This window comes from Homo sapiens, chromosome 16, assembly GCF_000001405.40.
Source record: "Homo sapiens chromosome 16, GRCh38.p14 Primary Assembly".
NCBI classification, from domain to species: domain Eukaryota; kingdom Metazoa; phylum Chordata; class Mammalia; order Primates; family Hominidae; genus Homo; species Homo sapiens.
The window spans coordinates 11,780,657-11,804,512 of NC_000016.10; the positions used below are offsets into that span (position 1 = coordinate 11,780,657).

The window sequence follows — 23,856 nt, forward strand, 5'->3', positions numbered from 1 at the left end:
ATACTTTTTTATTCCAAATCTGTTTGTAGAGAGCTAAGGAACAAGAGAGAAGAAAAGGGGAGGAGGGAGAGAGGCAGCAAGAAAGTGACATTTAGAAGCCTCAAAACCCTCAGAGGAAAAAAAACACAGGTGAACCAATAGTTAGTAGAGACAAGAGTCTGCAGTCAAAGTCCCAATAAACTGGGCTTTCTCCCTGTTCCTAAACAGCAGATCACTAGTTCTTCCCTCTTGGTATCCAGTCCCCCTTAGCTGCTGTCAGAACATCTCCTAACAGAAAAAAATGTTCCACACACTCTTTCTCAATAAATTCTGTCCCACTTATTTTCAATGACATGAGAAGTAATTTTCAAGTGGCTCAAAAGATAAATTAATTCAAAACCACCCTAATAGAGGAAAGAAAATACAGGGCAACTGTGCAAGTATGCAAAAAAAGAAAAAGAAAAAGAAAAAAAAAGTCCTATATAGAAGGGGTTGGCAAACTTTTTCTGCAAATGCCCAGACAGTACATGTTTTAGGCTCCATGGGCCATATGGTCTCTGTCAAAACTACCATATGTTGCAAAAGCAGCCACAGATAATACATAAACAAATGAGTGTGGCTGTGTTCCAATAAAGCTTTATTTGCAAAAAAATAAAATAAAATAAAATAAAATAAAAGGACAGCAGGCCAGATTGGGCCCACAAGGCCATCATTTGCCAACCCCTGCTACAAATTACAGTTCACAAGCCACTTGCAGAGCTTTCAAGCAGACCTTCCCGGAGTCATTACCGCATATTGCTCCTGTGTTCCTGGATATGACAGCGGTGACCTAAGAAGAAGAAACAAATTAACTGTAATTATCAAGCTCCTTATCGGGACCTGTTCAGCCAGAAGTCATCTTAAATCTGTGGTTCCATTAGCTTGCCACTGGTTCAAGGCATATTTCAAAGACTTCCTCCTCCTTTACTACCATTATTCACAGATGACTACAGTTATGGGAAAAAAAATACATATACATATATATATATATATATATATACTATTCCTTAGTATTTTTTAAGTACAACACTTTACTTTCAAACCTACTTCTATTTTTTAAAAACCCTAATTCTTCAACTGCCAAAAAAGAGGTTAAAAATAGTACAGAGCCACTAACAATATTTGATCCAATTTACTGCAGTATAGAGAGAATGTCTCCTTCCCAGGAAGGAACAAAGAGGCCCTTCTGCCCGGACATGTCCATCCAAACCACAGCTGTCTCATCATTGACATGCTTCAAGAAGTCCAATTAAACACTGAGCTTCTGAACAGACACGTCTGATCACAGAAGCCCTCTGTGCCGCCAGATGTTCATTTTCAGTCACTTTCCACTCAGCAGCACTGTTCATAGAACAAATTCAAATTTCTCAGTCTAACGTTTTGGGGGAGACTAACAATTGTAGCCCTAAAAGCCAGCAAAAGTAACACTTGCTTCCGAATGCAAGAATGTTCAAATGGACAAAAGAAAAAAATATTGCTAGAATATGGAGTTTCTAACCCAAATTAACTGGACCTATTAAACATGACTAAAGAGTTCTTCCTCTCCACAAAACATACATCCACACCAAAGAATTAGGACGCGGCAAGAACACAAGAACTCTGAAGCTCTTACTGTATAAACTGCAGTCCTTCCTTAATGTTCTGCTGCCTTTTTCTTCTCTCCTCGGACACATTGGACATGTTATCCCACACATCCACTTTCTAAATGAGCAATCTGGAAAGAAACAAGGCAAAAAAGCACATAAGGTACCAGGGTCCCTGGACTCCAATGAAAACACCCACAAATCCAGACCTTGTCACACAATCAGCTGTGGACACATCCATTTCTGACTTGACTCCAGGGTCCTGGACGGCAGGGACCGTACAGGAGTCATCTTTGTGGCTCCCCTGTGGTCCGGCACACCATAAGCACACCGTTTTCATATTCTTTTTTTTTTTTTTTTTTTTTTTTGAGACGGAGTCTCGCTCCATTGCCCAGGCTGGAGTGCAGTGGCGCGATCTCGCGATCTCGGCTCACTGCAAACTTCACCTCCAGGGTTCAAGCAATTCTCCTGTCTCAGCCTCCTGAGTGGCTGGGACTCAGATGCCTGCGACCACGCCTGGCTAATTTTTGTATTTTTAGGAGAGACAGGGTTTCACCTTACTGGTCAAGCTGGTCTCGAACTCGTGACCTCAAGTGATCCACCTACCTCGGCCTCCCAAAGTGTGGGATTATAGGTGTGAGCCACAGCGCCTGGCCAGTTTTCACATTCTTTAAGGCTGAATGGCTATGCAGACTTTGTATACCCCTCCTGAGCAGTCTCCAGGAAAAAGTCATGTCTCCCCTTCCTTTCCTCTTCCCTCCTTTGGCTTCAGGTTTTGTTTTTCCCTGTCTACACGCACGCATAAGCTGTCCCTAGAACAGTTCCAGCCTTGTTTTGCTTCTGGAAGCTCTCCAGAAATAAAAAGGTTTCACATCCGCTTGCCTCCGAGGGAGTCTGACTTCCTTGTAAGCCAAGTTTAAACCTTATACATATTTTGTCCCACAAACTTCCAAAATGATTATTGTTGATACAACAGATAAAATAATGATATAAAGTTACTTCCATTGGAATTTTCTGGATATTAAAATGTTATCCTCAATATAACACTTGCAAATGTCAACACATATCATTCTTTTGGGCCCCACCTCCACTAATCAACGTTCACCGAGCAGTTCCCCAAGTTCAAGGAGAGCCACAGAGAAGAGATCTGAGATAAAACATCATCTCCCAGTGGCCCAAACTAGAGTTCCTCAGGCTTGGCATTCTGGGCTAGCTAATTCCTTGTCTTGTGATTGCAGGACATTGGCAGTATTTCTGCCTCTACCCACTATGCCTGTAGCCCCTCACCCCAACCCCACTCACAACCAAAAGTGTCTCCAGATATCGTTAAATGTCAGGGTGGGGAAAGCACAATCAGCCCCAGTTGAGAACAACTGAGACCTAAAGTTAAGACAACATCTTACACATAAACCACGTATTTGGACCCAGGTGACAGGAAGGGAAATTCCACTCATGTTTGAAGTACATTGCTGAAATTTTTTAGTTTCATTATTGCTTGGCATTTACAGTTTTATTTTTAAATCTCATTTTTTTCAAAGTATAAGGGTGAGATGGGGGTTGGAATGTCCCAAATGCTGATAACTGGTGCTAAACCCTTTCTTCTTTGAAACACCGTCAGTTCTCAATATTTTTGTCCTATAAAGTTGGTACTTTACTGAAGTGTTTACATGGGAAAGGATATGACATAGGGGACTTGCTTTAAAATACTCCAGTAACAACAAAAAAGGGGGGGGCTGTGAGGTGGGGAGGAAACAGCAGAATGCTGATAACCAGGGGAGGGTGAGAAGTGCAGGGGATTCTTCAGTACTATTCTCTGGACTTTGTATGTGTTTGAAACATTACAAAATAAGAAGTTTAAGAAGTCCATGACACTAGAGTAAAATGGCACTATTTCTGGAATGTGCTTTTAAAACAGTTTAGCCAAAAGGGGGGTAGCTGGGTGGAAATAAAACAAGAATGCCAAAAATATGGATAATGGTTCCAGCTGGATGAGGGGCATGGAAGCTCATTCCACCCTTCTAGCTACTTGGACATGTTGGCCCATGTCCTTAATAGAAATGCTTTTTTAAAAAAATTTATATATTTTTTTAATTTATAAATGTTTTCTAAAAATTTATATGTACAAAATAATTTAAGGAAGCACTATTTGTAAAAGAAAAAGATTTTTTAAATTAACTCAGGCCACTCATGGTAGCTCACACCTGTAATCCCAGCACTTTGGGAGGCAAAGGCAGGAAGATCACTTGAGCCTAGGAGTTCAAGACCAACCTGGGCAACACAGGGAGACCCCCTATCTCTACAAAAAATTTTAAAAGAGGCCGGGCGCAGTGGCTCGCGCCTGTAATCCAGCACTTTGAGAGGCCGAGGCGAGTGGATCACCCAAGGTCAGGAGTTCCAGAGCAGCCTGACCAATATGGAGAAACCCCACCTCTACTGAAAATACAAAATTAGCTGGGCATGGTGGTGCATGCCTGTAATCCCAGCTATTTGGGAGGCTGAGGCAGGAGAATCACTTGAACCTGGGAGGCGGAGGTTGCAGTGAGCCAAGATCACGTCATTGCACTCCAGCCTGGGCAACAAGAGTGACACTCCATCTCAAAAAAAAAAAAAAAAAAAATTGGCAGGGCATGGTGGCTCATGCCTGTAATCCCAGCACTTTGGGAGGCTGAGGTGGGCAGATCACCTGAGGTCAGGAGTTCCAGACCAGCCTGGCCAACATGGGGAAACCCCATCTCTACTAAAAATACAGAATTAGCCGGGCGTGGTGGCACATGCCTATAATCCCAGCTACTACGGAGGCTGGGGCAGGAGAATCGCTTCAACCCGGGAGGCGGAGGTTGCAGTGAGCCGAGATGGTGCCACTGCACTCCAGCCTGAGCAACAAGAGTGAAATTCCATCTCAAAATAAATAAATAAACAAAAATAACAAAGATTAGCCAGGCATGGTGGCATGCACCTGTAGTCCCAGCTACTCAGGAGGCTGAGTTGGGAGGACTGATAGAGCCTGTGAGGTCGAGGTTGCAGTGAGCTACAATCATGCCAGTGCACTCCAGCCTGGGTGACAGAGTGAGACCTTGCCTCGAAAAAATAAAAAAAAAAGCAACCGGGTGTGGTGGTGCGTACCAGTAGTCCCAGCTACTCAGATGATGGAGGCAGGAGGATGGCTTGAACCCATGAGGTCAGGGCTGTAGTGAGCTACGATTGTGCCACTGCACTCCCGCCTGGGCAAGAGAGTGAGACCCTGTCTCAAAAATAATATTTTTTTAAAAAAACTAACCCAGTGTCTATCAAAAAGGAAATGCCTGAAGAAATTATAGGAAAAAAAAAAAAGATGAGGCATTTAAGTATCCATATGACCCATTTTGTTTTGTTTTGTTTTTTGAGACAGAGTCTCACTTGTCACGCAGGCTGGAGTGCAGTGGCACGATCTCTGCTCACTGCAACCTCCGCCTCCCGGCATCACACCATTCTCCTGCCTCAGCCTCCCGAGTAGCTGGGACTACAGGCGCCCGCCACCACGCCCGGCTACTTTTTTGTATTTTTAGTAGAGATAGGGTTTCACCGCGTTAGCCAGGATGGTCTCGATCTCCTGACCTCATGATCTGCTCACCTAGGCCTCCCAAAGTGCTGGGATTACAGGCGTGAGCCACCGCGCCTGGCCGTTTTGTGTTTTTTTAAAGTGACGGGTAGGTATATATATTGACATATGCTTGTGTAAACATAAAATAGTCCCAGATGGAATCATGGGAGACTACAGCAGTAGTAGAAGACTGAGGCTGGAAAAGGGGTAGGACGAGGTCTTTTCAATCTATGTGTTCAAAACTTTTGTTTTATTTGGAGCCACGTAAATGAATTACCTCTGTACAAAAATTAAACAAATTTTTAAAGTTTATGTATCCTCTGAGCCCTTCCTTGGAAAGATGACTTAAGGGACCACCGGGCTTTTGTTTGTTTTAGCTAAAACAGGGCAATTTACTTAGAGTTCGAACTTTAGAGTTCAGAGGAACCCAGAGTAGTATGCAGGATGCCAGAGCAGTCAGGCCAGAGGGAGGGAACAAAAGAAAAGGATGTCTGAAACCAGGACGATGGCCACACAGTTCAGTGAATGATGTACCTTTCTCTCAGCCTCTATCTAGCCAAGGTAGGGAATTGGTTTGAGGTTGACTCAAAAAGTTAATCTGCTGGCTAAGAATGGACTCCTGGGTAGTGATATCTGCCAAGTTTATAGCCTTAAAGCTATTTTCCCCAGAAAGTGTTAGAGAACCTTGAACCTCAACCTTATACACAAAAGGCGTGTGGCAAAGAGCTGACACCACAAGTAAGTGATTGAAAGGAAACGGAAAATGGATACAGACGTTTTTAATGCACAAAATACACCCCTTTAGCTGTTTATAGATCTAGGATCACAATATCAGGCAATATTTGAATATAATATGACAGAGTATTTCATGTTCAGTAGTTTTTTAAGTTTCCCCAAAAACTTTTATTTTGAAAGTTCTCAAACACACAGTAAAGTTAAAAACAATTATAATACTGTATGCCCAAACCCACAATTAATATTTTGTGAGATCACATCTGCCCATCTTTATCTATCTGCTCATCCTTCTGTTCATTCATCAGTCCGTCTTACTGTTTTAATAAATTTCAAAGTCAGCTGCAGATACCTAAACATCTCAGCACACACACAATTAAGTAGAGATCAATATTTGTTTACAGTTTTGTTTTTTAAGGTAAAACACGCAAATCTTAATGTGAGTTTTGACAAACTCATGTGACCCAGAGCCCTATCAGGATATAGATCAGCACCTTGGGAGGCCAAGGCAGGAGGATCATTTGAGCCCAGGAGTATGAAACCAGCCTGGGCAAGATGGAGAGACCCCATCTCTACAAAAAATTAAGCCAGGTGTGGTGGTACGTGCCTGTAGTCCTAGCTACTCAGGAGGCTAAGGCAAGAGGACTGATTAAGCCCAGGAGTTGGAGGCTGCAGTGAGCTGCTGACCGCGCCACTACAACCCAACCTGGGCAACAGAACAAGATCTTGTCTCTTAAATAAAGAAAAGATATAGACCATTAACTGTCACTCTACAAAGTTCCTTCATGCCCCTTCCCCAAACCACTACTGTAATTTCTTTTTTCCTCACCATTGATTAGTTTTACCTGTGAAATAATCTCCCCCCAACACACACCCCTTTGTGTGTGTGTTTTTGTTTTGTTTTGTTTTTGACACAAGGTCTTACCCTGTCATCCAGGCTAGAGTACAGTGGTGTGATCACAGCTCATTGCAACCTTAAACTTCCGGTCTCAAGCGATCCTCCCTCATCAGCCTCCTGAGTAGCTGAGACTACAAGTGTGCCACCATGCTCAGCTAATTTTTTTAATTTCACAGGGATTAAAAGCACAGGGACTGGCCAGGCACAGTGGCTCACGTCTGTAATCCCAGCACTTTGGGAGGCCGAGGCGGGCAGATCACCTGAGGTCAGGAGTTCGAGACCAGCCTGGCCAACGTGGTGAAACCCCGTCTCTACTAAAAATACAAACATTAGCCGGGCATGGTGGCAGGTGCCTGTAATCCCAGCTACTCGGAAGGCTGAGGCAGGAGAATCGTTTGAACCCAGGAGGCAGAGGTTGCACTGAGCCAAGATCGCGTCATTGCACTCCAGCCTGGGGGACAAGAGCAAGACTTCGTTTCCAAAGAAAAAAAAAAAAGCACAGGGATTACAGGTGTGAGCCCCCTCGTCCAGCCCCATACTCCTTTTTTTAAAGAAAGAAAAAGACGTTTAAAAATATACTATCTTATTTTTGGATACTGTTAAAATCTAGCCTCAATTTTAAAGAAAGAAAGAATTTTACAAAGTTAACCCAACAGTCTCTTTTCTTACTCAGTCTCAGCAGCACTCCCTCCCAGGGGCCCCTCCCTTCAACTTCCACCTCACAGCCTGGGCTAGGTCTGTCCCCACCTCACAGGCCACTCTGTCTCCTGCAAGCTGAGGCTCCATCTCCACAGACCTCTCACCTTGAGAGCCCTGAGGACCCACTCTTGAGATCTCCCCGAGCCATACTCTCCCATAGAGGTCCTCCCTCCATCAGATGTCAAATGCCCTCATCTAGGGCCCCATGACAACTCTCACGTCCATCCCCAGGCAGACCCTCTGGCCTGTTTGACAGTTCCATTTGAATTTCTCACAGACATCCTAAACTGTTCATTTTAACATGACAGTGAAAAGGAATGTCTCCTTCCCATCCTATCACTTAGCCACCCATTTGCCCTTCCGCCCGTTTGCCCTCCTGGAGGGCCACCAACCACTGTTACCAGTCTCAGAAAAGTCCAGACAAATATATTGCTTTCTTTTTTTTCTTTCTTTTTTTTTTTTTTTGAGACGCAGTCTCCCTCTGTTGCCCAGGCTGGAGTGTAGTGGCGTGATCTCGGCTCAATACAACCTCCGCCTCCTGGGTTCAAGCGATTATCCTGCCTCAGCCGCCCCAGTATCTGGGGTTACAGGTACGCACCAGCACACCCAGCTAATTTTTGTATTTTTAGTAGAGATGGGGTTTCACCATGTTGGTCAGGCTGGTCTCGAACTCCTGACCTCGTGATCTGCCTGCCTCAGCCTCCCAAAGTGCTGGGATTACAGGCGTGAGCCACCACGCTCGGCCTCACAAAGATATTCTATAGAACGATTCTGTATCTTGATTGTGGGAGTGGTTACATGAATTTATGCATGGGATAAAACTGCATAATACTACACACACACACATACACACACAGGCACGCACAACCACACACACACAAGTGCTGCTTAAAACCCAGTGAGGCCCATAGTTTGGTTAACAGTATTATACTAATGTCAATTTCCTGGTTGTGACAGTGTGCTACAGTTATATGTCACCATTGAAGGAAGAGGGGGTGAAGGGTTCATGGGACTCCATGTACTACTTTTGAAACTTCCTGTGAGTCTATAATTATTTCAAAATAAAAAGGTAAAAGTATTCTGTGTATATGTTTGTTTGTTTTTATTTTTTTTTTGAGACAAACTCTCGCTCTGTCACCCAGGCTGGAGTGCAATGGCACAATCTCCAGCCTCCGCTTCCTGGGTTCAAGCAATTCTACTGCCTCAGCCTCCCAAGTAGCTGGGATTACAGGCGCACGTCACCAGGCCTGGCTAATTTTTGTATTTTTGTAGAGATGGGGTTTCACCATGTTGGCCAGGCTGGTCTTGAACTCCTGACCTCAGGTGATCGGCCTGCCTTGGCCTCCCAAAGTGCTGGAATAACAGGCATGAGCCACTGCGCCCGGCCGTGCATATGTTCTTTTTTATTCAAACTGGAGCTACCAGTGAGTTCTGTACCCCACTGTCTTTATGTAGTATCTAATCAGTGTGTTCGTTTTCAAAACACACAGCGTTCCATGATATGGTTGTACCATAATTTTACCAGGCCTCTGGTGATGGACCTTCTGGTTGTTTCCAATCTTTAAAGGTCACCATGTACACAGGGCATTTCATACACATCTAAGTATCCCTTTAAAGAACTTTTATAGGATAGGCCAGCCATGGTGGCTCACACCTGTAATCCCAGCACTTTGGGAGGCCGAGGCAGGCAGATCACTTGAAGTCAGGAGTTCCAGACCAGCCCAGCCAACATGGTGAAACCCCATCTCTACTAAAAATACAAAAATTAACCGGGTGTGGAGGCATACACCTGTAATCCCAGCTACTCGAGACGCTAAGGCAGGAGAATAGCTAGAACCCGGGAGGTGCAGGCTGCAGCGAGCAAAGATCATGCCACTGCATTCCACCTGAACCACAGAGTGAGACTCCATCTCAAAAAAAAAAAAAAAAAAAAAAAGAATTTCTAAAGGATAAAGGGCATATGTATTTGTTTATTTTGCCAGCTATTGACACAATACACCAAATGATTCTCCCACCAACAATGCAGAGGATTCCTGGTTCCCCACTTCACCCAGGCATCAAATGTGTGCATCCTTGTGAACCAAAAAAGTGAGAAACAGTGTGGCAATGTGATGAGGCCATGTTTGTTTTAATCTATCATTAGCAAGGCTCAGCGTCCTTTCAAATTTAAGAATCATCTGTACTTCCTTGTCTGTGAATTGTTTGCTCATACCCTCTGCTCATTTTTCTTCCAGGCTGAGCTTTACTTATTTATGGAAGCTCTTTATATGTTGAGGAAAATAGTCCTTTCTGATGTTATTGGTATTTTTTCCAATTTGATGTCAATCTTTTGACTTTGGTTATTTTTGACAGCAAAGGTGTTGTTGTCGTCGTCGTTATTATTGTTGTTTGAGACGGAGTTTCACTCTTATTGCCCAGGCTGGAGTGCAATGGCACGATCTCGGCTCATTGCAACCTCCGCCTCCCAGGTTCAAGCGATTCTTCTGCCTCAGCCTCCCGAGTAGCTGTGATTACAGGCACACGCCAAAACGCCCGGCTAATTTTGTATTTTTAGTAGAGATGAGGTTTCTTCATGTTGGTCCAGCTGGTCTTGAACTCCCGACCTCAGGTGATCTGCCCACCTCGGTCTCTCCCAGGAGGCAGAGGTTGCAGTGAGCCAAGATTGCGCCACTGCACTCCAGCCTGGGCCACAGAGCAACATTCTGCCTCAAAAATAAATAGATAAATAAAACAAGTAAAAAATAAAAATAAAAATCAGCCCAGACTGGTGGCACCTGCTTGTATGTAGTCTCAGCTACTCAGAGGCTAAGGGAGGAAGATCGCTTAAGCCCAGGTCTTCAAGGCTCAGCAAGCTATAATCACACCACTGCACTCCAGCCTGGGGTACAGAGCAAGACCCTGTCTCTAAAATAAATTTTTAAAACACACACACACACACACACACACACACACACACACACACACATCCCAATGCTTGCACTCTGCTTAAGACCCTTCAGCAGTTGCTTGGGACGCTGGATGAAGCCTTGCCTCCGTACGGTGACCTAGCAGACCCCCATCCCCAAGCCACGCAGCTCCTGCCTCCCCCAGCTTCACACATGAGGCTCCCGTCACACTGACCTTTTAAGAGCTCCCAGAACAAGTCAGGCACTCCATGCTTCTAAGTCACTGTGTTTGTTGTTCCCTCTGCCCAAAATACACTTCCCAGCTCTTCACAGAGCTGCCTCCCTTTCATCCATCCACAAGTGGGCTTAAATAACACTGTTAGGTACCTTCCCTTGCCACCCTAAATTGCTGCCTCACCCCAGTCTCACCCCTCTTATTCACTTCAGCAGGTACCTGCTACTTCTCATGCTTCATTGTAAGAACAAGATCTGGGTCCAGCTCAACAAATACTTGAACAAAGAATGAAGTAAGCAGCCCAGTGTAAAGAGAATGCCTCATACAAAGTTCAGAGGCCCAGGAGATAGAAGCTGGTAAAACCATTCACAAGAAGCAAGCGTGAAGAAGGAGGGTGCCCAGCAGGAAATGACTGCATGCAAACAGAGCTGGTTATAGTGGGGCTTGGCCCCCAACCCTTTGGGGAAACAAGGTGGGAAGTGAATCAATATAGTGGGAACTGCCTGGAGACAGCGACGGAAAAAAACCTGAAACCATAAGGGATTCCTCAAGATATACAATGACAAGTTTCACTGATCCCCTCTTCTCCTAAATAAAAAAGAATTCCAGGGAAGAAGGCACTTTGTTTTTTTGTTTTGTCTTTGAGACAGTGTCTCCCTGTGTTGCCCAGGCTGCAGTACAGTGGCACAACCATAGCTCACTGCAGCCTCAACCTCCAGAGCTCAATCTTCCCATCTCAGCCTCCCAAGTAGCTGGAACTACAAGCACATGCCACTATACCTGAATAATTTTTGTATTTTTTGTAGAGACAGAGTCCCACTATATTGCCCAGGCTGTTCTCAAACTTCCAGGCTCAAGCAATCCACCCACCTTAGCCTCCCAAAGTATTGGGATTACAGGCGTGACCTGTGTCTGGCCCAAGGAGAGATACTTTGAACAGTTCATTTTAAAGCAAGAAACTCAATTAAATAAGAATTTCATTAAATTAACTGAACTCTTACAAACTGGAATATCATCTCTCTGGGATCAGCTGATTTAAAATTTGTTACTAATCTTGAAGTTATGTAAGATCTCAAGGTATCCTGGATCTTCAGAACTCCCTTACTATTTACTCAGTGCCTGGTAGGTTAAACTCATTATCCCAAAGTCTAGTACAATGTTGGTAACTAGACAAATAAATCCACATCCATGAGCTTTTGACCTTACATGGTAACTTTAGAAACTAGCTCACATTAACAGAAGACATCAAGGTAAGGGAAATGTGACTGCAACATACTGAGACAGAAATAGTAGCTCTTACTGGACTCCAGGCACTGTTCTACATGCTTTATACGTATTAAGTCATTTAATCCTCCTGCTAACCTTAAGTGACAGGTACTATAAAGAAACTGAAATACAGATAAGTGACGCAGCTGGCCCAGGATTACACCTAGGAAGTAGCAGAGCTCAATTTCAAAGGCAGACAGCCTGGCTCCAAGCCTGAGAGCCTATCCACCTGGCTCTTCTGCACATTACGTGCCAAAGACGCCTGGAGGGGAGTGAGCATCTGTCTAGGGTGGCCCTGGGCTGGGCTCTGAAAGACAAATATGGCTCTGATGAACAGGTGGGCACTTTAAAGCCATTCAGGAGAAATGAAAGAAACACACGCATGCGTGTGCACTTGTGTACACAAAAAGATATGCTCAACAGACGTCATTTAATGCAACTCAGACAAAGCAGAGGGCTTTCACAGGAATGCAGTAGGCCAGGAGTCTGGACATCACTCCAGGGAAAATCTTTCAAGGGGATCTGCTCCACCCAGAACATAATGTATTTAAATACAAATAATATTAAAACAGCCTTACTTACAAGATGTACTAACACAGGACCAAAGTCTCCCAGTGAAGGCAGTGCAGAGGTCACCTAGCACAGCATTTGTACTTTTGCCTAAAAAGGTATCCCTACATTTCAAGTGAAAAATTACAGGCTGGGTGCAGTGGCTCATGCCTGTAATCCCAACATTTTAGGAGGCTGAGGTGGGAGGATCGCTTCAGGCCAGGAGTTTGAGACCAGCCTAGGCAACATAGGAGACCCCATCTCTATAAAAATGTTTAAAAAATTAAATGGGCATGGTGGTGTACACTGTAGTGCCAGCTACTCGGGAGACTGAGGCAGAAGGATTGCTTGAGGCCAGGAGTTTGAGGTCACAGCAAACTATGACTATGCCACTATACTCCAACCTGGGTGTCAGAGCAAGATCCTGTCTCAAAAAAAAGGGGGTGGGGGGGAGGAAAAATGATACATTCCACTCCATATTCAATTCTATCCCCAGACTGAAGCCTGTGTAATATTAATAGCTTTAAAACAACAACTACAAAGTAGTTAAAGTATCATTATTGTCATCCTTAATTGGCAACAGTATATTAACTGGCTCTTGCAACACTTACAAAAGCACCTGGGGCACAAGGCAAGCCTCAGAAGGCTGCAAACCCAGATGATAAGACATTAAAGTTGTTGAAGCTCCTATTGGATACTTTATGAAACAGTTTCTCCCTTTTACTGAAAAGGAAAATTTCATGAGAGACAGTATGCCAAACAACAGCAGGAAGGTAATGTTACATTTTGGCTGGAGTTCTTCCCCCCACAGGAACTATTCACTTTGAAATTGCTGTCAGATTTCAGATTCAGTAAGATACAAAGTCTGTGAAGAGCCTGAAGAGCCTCCCTCTGCGAAGAGGCTCCGCCTGCCAAGAGCCTCCCTCGGCACCCACGCCCTGCTAAGTGGTGGTTCCCAGGAACATCTCATCTTATCTATGACCTCTGTATGGAAGAACTCAACAGGAATATTTCATGTAAAAGCTTCATGACAAATGATTTGCCTGGGGACACTGATACCACCACGATGTACCCAAGACCGCCAGCCGATGAAGTCTTCCCAACCAAGTAACCCCAACACACTCTCACCTTCTTACCAAATGTGCCAGATTAATGTCCTGCTCCAAATTCAGGCCTTTTCAGAAAACATAAAGCTTCCCGCTTTCTATTTGTGAAAAAGTAACCTCGTTGCTTTACATAAACGAAAATCACCTCATTTAATATGCCTTTTGTGTACATGTAAATTAAAACGTTATCACTAGCAGTAATTTTTAAACTTCTGGATTAATACTTTAATACTTCTCTCCTCCTTAAAAATTATCTAAAATTTCTTCTTGATTTGCCAACACCTCACACTTTAAGTAATTTTCATAAGGATTCTGGAGAAAAATATTTTCACTAGAAAAAAAACAAAACAAAACAGAACACTTCCAGACGTTATCCAGAAGACAAAAGTTTGCTCACATCATACTGTCTCTAGAAAGCCCTTTCTAGGGTATCTGTGGCAACAGGATACAGACGTCTTTTGTTTCTTTCTTCCTTTACTGAAATGCTCAAAACTTTCCAACAGTCACTCTCACCATCCCTGGAGTTGAGAGTTTCTATAATTGATTCTCTTCCACTTACAATGACAATTTAACCCACCCCAACTGGCAGGTTTTAAAATCAGTCAAAACTAAGAATTGTGGAACAATGTGGCTGACAAGCCACCATTCTTATTTGCAAAAACTGACAGAATCTGGGGAATGGGAAGGAAAGAGGGTGTAGGTCTGTGTAAAACCCCCAACGAAAAGTCACAGTAACATGAAGAAAGGCAGGAATTCTCCACTTCGTTTGGATGGCAGAAAATCAACGGGCTCTTTGTAGAATAAACACACACACACAAACACACACGCACAAATATTGATAATATTGAGCCTCAACAACTCATGATCTCATCCTGAGACAAACCTCATACAACTATTTGTAGCCTCCAGCATACAGCAGATAGGGAAAATTTTTCAACAGGGAAAATACTGTCCATTAACTTGAATTATTCTGCAAATTAGGACAAGACCCATTGTGCAATTCAGTTCAACAGTTTGGCTCAGTATGAGAAGGAAGAGGCAGTGGATTCTTTGAGAGCTTAAGGGAAGGAGGCCACATGCCATCAGAGAAGCAGGAAAGATAAGCAGATAGACATGTCTTCTCAGGGCCACCACCCATTCAGATGCCCCAGCTGCGCGCTGTCCAGTCGAAATATTGTACAAAATATATTACACAAAATAAGCCATACGTGTCATTGTATGTATGTATGTATGTACGCATGTATGTGGAGAGGGAGTCTCGCTCTGTTGCCCAGGGAGGAGTGCAGTGGCACAATCTCGGCTCACTGCAACCTCTGCCTCCCGGTTCAAACGATTCTCCTGCCTCAGCCTCCCCAGTAGCTGGGATTACAGGCGCCTGCCACCACGCCTGGCTGATTTTTGTATTTTTACTAGAGACGGGGTTTCTCCATGTTGGCCAGGCTGGTCTCGGAATTCCTGACCTCAGGTGATCCACACACCTCGGCCTCCCAAAGTGCTGGGATTACAGACGTTGAGCCACCCCGCCCGGCCCGTATATGTCATTTTAAATTTCCAAATAGCCACACTAAAAAAAGAGAAAAAGAAAAGCAGTGAGATTAACTTTTGTTTTTTTATTTGTTTGTTTTGAGACAGTGTCCCAGGCTGGAGCACAAAGGCACAATCTCAGCTCACCGAAGCCTCAATCTCCTGGGCTCAAGGGATTCTCCCACCCCAGCCTTCCGAGTAGCAGATTCTCCCACCTCAGCTTCCCGAGTAGCTGACTACCGGCGTGCGCCACCACGCCCAGTTAATTTTTTGTATTTTTTGTAGAGACAGGGGTCTCACTATGTTGCTGAGGCTGGTCTTGAACTCCTGCACTCAAACGATCCTCCTGCCTCAGCCTCCCAAAGTTTTGGGATGACAGGCATGAGCCACTGCATCCTGCCAAGATTAATTTTAATGATCTATTTTCGTTAATCCAATTTGTCCCAAACATGACCATCTCAACATGCATTTAAGTATAAAAGATTACCAATGACATCTTTTACTTTCTTTCTCATCCGAAGTTTTTAAAATCAGATGTACGTTTCACAGCTGGGACCGCAACTGAAACTGGCCCCATTTCGTGGGCTCCATCGTCCCAAACGGCGGGGGGTCAGTGGCCACCGTACTGGGCATGGCAAGGTCCTTCGTGGTTCAATACCGAACACGGGCAACTCCTTTTCATCCCTAGACAGGTGGGGACAGGAAAATACCCAACTCCTGGCAAATCCACCCAGTCCCGACTCAGGCTCGACCTCGGAGGCCCCGGCCGGGCCTCAGGCGGCCCCACCCCTTTGCTGCCCAGGCCTGACCGGAAGCCCCGCTAATGGGAACTGACAGGTCCCGGTCCCGGTCCTCCCGGGCGGCGCCCCCGCCTCCGCGGACCCCAAGGCCTCTCCCCGCCCGGCCCAGGGCTGCACCCCGCGCGAAAAAATAAAAAAATCAGAAAGGGGGGTAAAAAAGACGGATGAGCCCCAAATTAATGCGCCAAGCTCTCCGCCGGCATCCTTCCCGCCCCCAAGCCCAAGACGCTGAATCGGGATCCCCGCGATCACCAGAGCAGACAGAAATAACCAAAAAAAAAATTTTTTTTTAGTGAAATCACCAAAAAGGAGACATTTTGCCGAGGGAATGGCAGGCAGAAGTGGGTCACGTTATTCTCGGTGGGGGAAGGGGACGGCGCGCCCACCCGTCCCTCCGCGCGCACAGGCCCCGGCCCGGCTCCTCTCAGGGTCCTCTCGGGTCCGCGGGCCCCGGACCCCGCCGCCCCTCCCCCGCCCCGCCCGCCGTCCGTTAACGGCCGCGCGCGAGCACGAGGCGGCGGCGCGCGCGGGGGGGGCGGGGGCGCGGGCGCGCGCGTTTCCTTCATGCCCGGCGGCGTCCCCCTACCCCTACCTGTGGGGACGACGCGCCGGCCGGCGGCAGAAGGCAGGCGGAGGCGGGCGGCGGCAGGCGGGCAGCGGTGGCGGCGGCGGCGGCGGGGCCTGGGTGCTCGCTCGCAGCTCTCCCTCGGTTAGCGGCGGCGGCAGCGGCTCGGTTGCGCCCGCGGCGGCGCCCTCTAGCGGCGGGAGGCCGCGCTTGCCGCCCGGGAGACGCCGCCATTGGCTGCGCCGGAGCTACGGGCTGGGGGCGGTGGCGCCACGTCTGACTGGGGGCAGGGACCTGGGCGCGCCGTTCAATCCGGAGCCCCGGCGTCGACGCGCGGCCCACTGGGTGAGCCAATGGGAAGGCCACGTTGCGCACTGGACGCGCTCGGACTCAAGACTGATTAACCAGCACCGGGGTTTTCTGGGGCCTCGCCTGGGCCGCGGCCTGAGCAGAAGCGCTAGGAGGTAGAACAGCGTCCAGCGGGGAGAGGAGCTAGAGTCGGCATCGGGAAGCCCACCCTGGAGCCTGCTTAGCTTGACGAGCCCTCAACCGGGGCGCCCTGCTCTGCGAAGAGTAACCCTGCATCCTCAGAACAACCGTGATTGTCTTCATTCCTACATATGAGGAACGGAGGCGCGGAGCCCCACGGCAGCCGGGGATCCAAAGACAGCCTCCCTCCAGTTCCATCTGCCGGCTCTTGGAAGGCCTGGATCCCTGTCCTTCAGGGCCCAGCCCAAATGCCGCCTCGTCCATCTGCATTTTACGGCCAGGTGCCCCGCTGCGGGCACGGCTTCTTGTAAAATGCTCAGCTCAGCAGTGGGCGAGGCAGGGTCCCTGCCCCATGGGATGGAGGGCGGAGATCAGGACCCACAAGAGCCCAAAGAAGACCATTTTGGTCGGTGAAGACCAAAGAAATTCAAGCAGGAGGATGTGACAGGAGCTTTTGGGAAAGCCTCTGAGGAGGTGACAGCCATGCAACCGTGTTCGGGGAAGTGTGCCGCAGGCAGAGGGGAAATGAGTGCAAAAGCCCTGAAGCTGGAGTTCGGTGTCTGGATAACAGGAAAGGCCTGCATAGCTGATGTGTGCCAGAGGGGAGAAAGATCTGTGACACAGGGGGGCCGCCATGTTTAATTTGGAGTTTTGTGTGGAAGGGGGTCATTCATTGAGTCTGAATTGGGAGTTCCGAGGTCTCATTTATATTTTAGAAAGTTCTCTCCTGCTACTATGCAGAGATTGGGCTGTAGGAGAGACAAGAGGGGAAGTGGGGACTCTAGCTACAGTAGCTCTTCCAGGGGTCTGGGTGACGTAGATTTACAAACCAGAGTATTAGCTCAGGCTGCCATGACAAAATACCCCAGACCAGGCAGCTTAGACAACAGGAATTTATTTTCTCACAGTTTTAGAGGCTGCAAATCTAAGGTCTGGGTGCCGGCAGGGCTGGTTTCTGGTGAGGCCTCTCTCCCTGGCTTGCAAACAGCTGCCTTCTCACTGTGTCCTCCTATGACCTTTTCTCTGTGAGCAGGAATCCCTGGTGTGTCTTCCTTTTTCTTACAAGAACAACAATTTTACTAGATTAGGGCCCCACCCTATGACTTCATTTAACCCCAGTGACTACCTAAAAGGCCGTATTCAAATAGTCGTATTAGGCCAGGCGCAGTGGCTCACGCCTGTAATTCTAGCACTTTGGGAAGCCGAGGCAGATGGATTGCCTGAGCTCAGGAGTTGGAGACCAGCCTGGGCAACACAATGAGACCCCGTCTTTACTAAAATACAAAAAATTAGCCGGGCATGGCGACGTGCACATGTAATCCCAGCTACTCGGGAGGCTGAGGCAGGAGAATCGCTTGAACCTGGGAGGCAGAGGTTGCAGTGAGCTGAGATCGCGCCATTGCACTCCATATTGGGCGAGAGAGAGAGTCTGTACCAAAAAAAAAAAAAAAAGTATAAGGGTCCTATGACTTCATTTAACCCTAATGACTGCCTAATATGCCTAATAGCCATATTAGGGTTAGAGCTTCAACATACGGACTCCGGGGTGGGTATGTGCGGAGCGGGGAGCGTTTCAGTCCGTAACACCAGGTAAGTGCTGCAACAGATATTGGAGAGCTGATGGGCTGTGGTTTTAGGGAAGCTCCTCTAAGAAAGGGGTGGATTATACCGGGCGCACTGGCTCACATCTATAATCCCAGCACTTTGGGAGGCCGAGGCAGGGGGATCACGAGGTCAGAAGTTCAAGACCAGCTTGGCCAACATGGTGAAACCCTGTCTCTACTAAAAATACAAAAATTAGCCAAGCATGGAGGCAGGCGCCTGTAATCCCAGCTCCTGGGGAGGCTGAGGCAGGAGAATCACTTGAACCTGGGAGGTGGAGGTTGTGGTGAGTCGAGATCGCGCCACTGTACTCCAGCCTGGGCGACACAGCGAGACTCCGTCTCAAAACAAAATAAGAAAAAGAAAGGGGTGGATTATTCTCGTGACCAGAGGCTGCTCATCATTCAGGCCTCAACTACAGTAGCCTCTCTTGGAGAGGCCTTCACTGACAGCCCATCTAAAAGTTGCTCACTAACACAGCGCCCTATCTGATCTTCCAAGCAGTCATCATGATCTGAAATGACCTCGTCTAGTCCTGTTGCCAGAAGGCTCAGGAGGTCTCTGGATACTGGTGACACCCCAGCCCCAGCCAGTTTCCAGGTTCTTGACACCTTGGAGAGAAAGAATTCAAGAATGAGTTGAATGAAGCAAAGGGCAAGAAGGTTTTTTTTTGTTGTTTGTTGTTTTTGTTTTTTTTGAGACAGGATCTCAGTCTGTCACCCAGGCTGGAGTACAGAGGCGCAATCATGGCTCACTGCAGTCTTGATCTCCCGGGCTCGGGTGATTCCCGCCACCTCAGCTTCCTGAGCAGCTGGGACTAGTACCACACCGGCTAAGTTTTTGGGGTTTTTTTTGTTTTTGTAGAGACAGGGTTTTGCCATGTTGCCCAGGCTGGTCCCAAACTCCTGGGCTCAAGCAGTCCTCCCACCTTGACCTCCCAAAGTGCTGGCATTACAGTTGTAAGACACTGCACCGAGCTGCAAGAAGCTTTTATTGCAAAGTGAACATACACATTTAAGAGAGAAGTGCAGGCATGCCCGTGAGAATGAGTCTTGCACAATGGAGTTTGGGTTCCTAATTTTATGGGTGTTTCTTTTAGTTACAGGATGGAATTATCGTTAGGCATTCTGGAAAGGGAGGGGATTTCAGGGACCTCCACCTCAATTACTGTCTCCTTTCTTCCTTATCTGGGTTTGCTGGAAGAAGCATGGACATGTCACCCTGGCCAGAGTTTTGGCCATCTTCTCTCCCTTGGGTTTTCTGTTATCCTATGGTTTATTTGCCTAGTTCCTGTTTCAGCTGTTTGGGTTTTTCCATCCTCCTGTGACCACCCAGTGCTGTTCCTGTCTCAGGCATTTGGGCGCTTGTTTGTGGTCGGCCTCCAACCCTACAGGAGAGCAGAGACTCTGCTTTTTTTGTTTTGTTTTGTTTTTGCTTTTTGAGACAGAGTTTTGCTCTTGTTGCCCAGGCTGGAGTGCAATACATAATCTTGGCTCACTGCAACCTCTGCCTCCCAGGTTGAAGCGATTCTCCTGCCTCAGCCTCCCAAGTAGCTTGGATTACAGGCGTGCGCCGCCACCTCACCCGGCTGATTTTTGTATTTTTAGTAGAGACGGGGTTTCTCCATGTTGGTCAGGCTGGTCTTGAACTCCTGACCTCAGGTGATCCACCTACCTCGGCCTTCCAAAGTATTGGGATTACAGGCATGAGCCACCACGCCTGGCCCAAACCAGTTTCTTTTGTCCTATATTCTCAGCCCCTTGATAGTAGGTAGCACCCCTTAAATACTTCTGGAGTGGATGTCTCAAGCAAGCCTGAGGCTAAGATCTGATTAGAAGCGTGAGTAGGAGATATCCTAATGCAGTGGTGCATGTAGAAAAGAAAAAAGCCTGATGCGGTGGCTCCCGCCTGTAATCACAACACTGGGAGGCTGAGGTGGGCGGATCGCTTGAGGCCAGGAGTTCAAGACCTGCCTGGCCAACATGGCGGAACCACATCTGTACTAAAAATACAAAAATTAGCCAGGCGTTGTGGCGGGTGCCTGTAATCCCAGCTACTTGGAAGGCTGAGGCACTCATGCCACTGCACTCCAGCCTGGGTGACAGAGTGAGATTCCATCTCAAAAAAAAAAAAAAAAAAAAAAGCTCTTGTGATTGCATTGGGTCCACCTGGATAACCCAAGATGGTCTCTTCATCTCAAGATTGTAACTTAATCCCAATAGCAAACTCCCTTTTGCTAGGTAACAGGTTACTGGGGTCAGCATGTGGACATCTTTGGGGAACCATTATTCTGCCTACCACAGAGAGCAAAGTAAAGGACATCTGCGTATGGGTGTGCCTGCTTCCTGGAATCCCCATCTCCAGCCCTTGTTGAGGTGATGACACTCCCTATTCCCCCACCCCTGGTAGCACTAGGTGCTGTAGTGCTGAGGAAAATAGACTGACTCATTCCTCAGGCTTCCACTCTAGTGGGAGAAATTTTCAGTTTCTTCATTGGATATTACACTGACAAGTACACTCTCTAAGGACCTATTATGTGCCCCATGCCTGAGGGTACAAAGTTGGATAAGACAGGATTCCTGCCCTCACCCAGCCTACGGTCAGGTCAAGGATTCAGGCTGTGTTCATCAGTGATTCTAGGGGTGGCCAGGGTAGGCGGAGGAGTCTGTGGAGCCACCTAGGAGTGACCTCTTCATTCTCTCCAGAAATACTTACAGAGCACTTACTCTGTGCCAGATACTATTCTAAATTCATGGGATGTGTCAGTACAGAACAAAGATCACTATCCTAATGAAGTTTACATTCCAGGAGAGTGAAACAGACAACAATATAAGTAAATCATAGAGTATGTTAGAGGATGCTAAGTATTATGTTTAAAGAAAAAGCAGGGGTGGGCAGAAGCCGAGCACAGTGGCTCCACCTGTCATCCCAGCACTTTGGGAGACTGAGGCAGAAGTTCGAAACTACTTTGGGCACCATGGTGAGACAGTGTCGCTACAAACAAAAAAGGTGGGGAAAGGGGGAGACGTAGAAGCAACAGTACTTAAAGACACTGATATAGATGCCAGATTGAGAAGTATACAGGGTGGTTATCAATGAATGCTATGAAGATACCATAAAGGAGATGGTGACAGGCTATTCTGGGCACACTGCTTGTGGGGTAGCCCTGCTCTGCAAGAAGCGGGGTTTTGTTTTTTTTGTGTGTGTTTTTTTGGGAAAATTTAATTTTGGGCCAGACATGGTGGTTCATGCCTATAATCCCAGCACTTTGGGACGCTAAGGTGGGCAGATCACCTGAGGTCAGGAGTTTGAGACCAGCCTGGCCAACATGGCAAAACCTCGTCTCTACTAAAAATACAAAAATTAGCCAGGCATGGTGATGCGCACCTGTAATCCCAGCTACTCAGGGAGGCTGAGGCAGGAGAATCACTTGAACCTGGGAGGCGGTGGTTGCAGTGAGCTGAGATCACACCACTGCACTCCAGCCTGGGCGACAGAGTGAGACTCCCATCTCAAATAATAATTTTTTAATTAATTGAAGGAGATGATGGGGAAACCAAGTCATACAAAAGGGGTTGCAGAGTCATTCCTGTAGGGGTCCAGCCGGTAACCTAATGAGCCTGCCCAGGGGTCAGCGTAGACTCAGGAACACCCTGTCCACTCTAGCTAAGGTAACAACTGCTTCCCAGGCCTCTCTGTTCTTGCCATGTGGTCTACAAATGCAGTTTTGCCAGAAACTCCAGGCGTATTTCAAGATTAGCTAGAAATTGGGATTTTATTACAACAAATACTCTACTTTGAAAAGTTAATTAGTAGAAAAAAGAAACACTATGTAATACAAATAAGCCATGTCCATAGGCAGCAGTGAGCCCATGGGCCACCCACTTGCAACATCTGTCGTAAAAACTAAATAAGATATAGATAGATCTTAGGACAGACCTTCTAGATTCATTAATGGGAGTTATGATGTAGTCACCAGATACTGTAGTGAATGCCATAAAAAATACAGATGGGGTTAGGTGGGGTGGCTTATACCTGTAATCTCAGCACTTTGGGAGGCCGAGGGAGGTGAACCACTTGAGGTCAGGGGTTCGAGGCCAGCCTGGGAAACATGGTGAAATGCCGTCTCTACTATAAATACAAAAATTAGCTGGACGTGGTAGTGGGCGCCTGTAATTCCAGCTACTTAGGAGGCTGAGGTGAAAGAATCGCTTGAACCCAGGAGGCAGAGGTTGTAGTGAGCCGAGATCGACCCACTGCACTCCAGCCTGGGTGACAGAGCAAGACTTTGTCTCAAAAAATATACGTGTGTGTATATATATATATATATATATATATATATATATATATATATATATTTGTGTGTATATTGTGTATATACATATGTGTATACACACAAATATATTTGTGTATATATAAAAGATATATTTTGTGTATATTTTTTGGGGAGAGGGGGAAAAAAAGGAAGACAAAGTTATGACCAGACACCTGGTCTTTTTTTCTTCTCTGTCTCTCTTTTTTTTTTTTTTTTTTTTTTTTTTTAGAGACAGGGCCTCTCTCCGTTGCCCAGGCTGGAGTGCAATGGCACAATCACAGCTCACTGCAGCCTCAGTCTCCTGGGTTCAAGCAATCCTCCTACCTCAACCTCCCAAGTAGCTGGGACTGCAGGCTTGTGCCACAGCCTCTTTAATTAAAAAAAAAAAGAGAGAAAGAAAAAGCAAACAAGGGCTGTTCTTTCCTATGCTTTTGGTTTTTCTGAAGTATATTAGTTTGCAATTTCAGCCTTCTTGCTCACCTTGAATCCTCCACCCCTCTGCATGTTGTACCTGTTCTCAGCTGTATTAGGAGTCAGTATAATAGGATTATTTCCGGTTGCCTTGGTTTTCCTTTCAGCTGGGCACCAAATTAAGTATCTCAGTAAAATAACCCATCTCCTAGCACCCACCCAAAAAATTGGGAGTTACTTTTCCTTGGCCCGTGAGGTCTCTGGATACCAGCTTCTACACATAAGCAGCAATAGCAGTAGTAGTTCAGCTTTATATACAAAGTTATCTGAGATTCTCAGCAGGAGCTGGCATGCACACATAGCAAAAGTGTCCACTTTTTAAAAATATATTCACTGGCCGGGCGCAGTGGCTCACGCCTATAATCCCAGCAATTTGGGAGGCCGAGGTGGGCGGATCACTTAAGGTCAGGTGTTCAAGACCAGTCTGGCCAACATGGTGAAACCCCATCTCTACTAAAAATACAAAAATTACCTGGGCATGGTGGCGGATGCCTGTAGTCCCAGCTACATGGAGGCTGAGGCAGGAGAAATGCTTGAAC

General features: G+C 46.6%; 1 protein-coding gene across 6 annotated transcripts in view, besides 6 other annotated features; it reads right to left on the reverse strand.

Annotated features, from left to right (window-relative positions):
- The window catches only part of ZC3H7A (zinc finger CCCH-type containing 7A), a 46,662-nt gene extending 30,060 nt beyond the window's left edge, over positions 1 to 16,602 (reverse strand). For 2 of the 6 annotated variants that reach the window (NM_014153.4, XM_047433997.1), the window contains exons 1-3: positions 16,468 to 16,602; positions 1,631 to 1,732; positions 769 to 808 (exon numbers count right to left, since the gene is read on the reverse strand). In NM_014153.4, coding sequence (NP_054872.2) covers positions 769 to 808; positions 1,631 to 1,698 — 108 coding nt within the window. In that variant the 5' untranslated portion in view covers positions 1,699 to 1,732; positions 16,468 to 16,602. Of the gene's footprint in view, positions 1 to 751; positions 809 to 1,630; positions 1,733 to 2,207; positions 2,980 to 15,562; positions 15,873 to 16,467 lie in introns of those variants that run through there. The other 4 variants (XM_011522463.3, XM_047433996.1, XM_006720877.3 and 1 more) reach the window with 4 other exon arrangements.
- Positions 3,022 to 3,081: an enhancer, noted in NCBI's record as "active region_10458". NCBI's record gives its function as "activates an Ori minimal core promoter by ATAC-STARR-seq in GM12878 lymphoblastoid cells {active_cell/tissue: GM12878}" and the evidence as "EXISTENCE:reporter gene assay evidence [ECO:0000049][PMID:35858748]".
- Positions 7,528 to 7,787: an enhancer, noted in NCBI's record as "active region_10459". NCBI's record gives its function as "activates an Ori minimal core promoter by ATAC-STARR-seq in GM12878 lymphoblastoid cells {active_cell/tissue: GM12878}" and the evidence as "EXISTENCE:reporter gene assay evidence [ECO:0000049][PMID:35858748]".
- Positions 15,834 to 15,993: a silencer, noted in NCBI's record as "silent region_7209". NCBI's record gives its function as "represses an Ori minimal core promoter by ATAC-STARR-seq in GM12878 lymphoblastoid cells {active_cell/tissue: GM12878}" and the evidence as "EXISTENCE:reporter gene assay evidence [ECO:0000049][PMID:35858748]".
- Positions 16,301 to 16,838: an enhancer, noted in NCBI's record as "H3K27ac hESC enhancer chr16:11890813-11891350 (GRCh37/hg19 assembly coordinates)". NCBI's record gives its function as "activates a minimal SCP1, AML or CMV promoter by ChIP-STARR-seq in primed H9 embryonic stem cells {active_cell/tissue: H9 hESC(primed)}" and the evidence as "EXISTENCE:reporter gene assay evidence [ECO:0000049][PMID:30033119]".
- Positions 16,301 to 16,885: a biological region, named in NCBI's record as "H3K27ac hESC enhancer GRCh37_chr16:11890813-11891350".
- Positions 16,476 to 16,885: a silencer, noted in NCBI's record as "silent region_7210". NCBI's record gives its function as "represses an Ori minimal core promoter by ATAC-STARR-seq in GM12878 lymphoblastoid cells {active_cell/tissue: GM12878}" and the evidence as "EXISTENCE:reporter gene assay evidence [ECO:0000049][PMID:35858748]".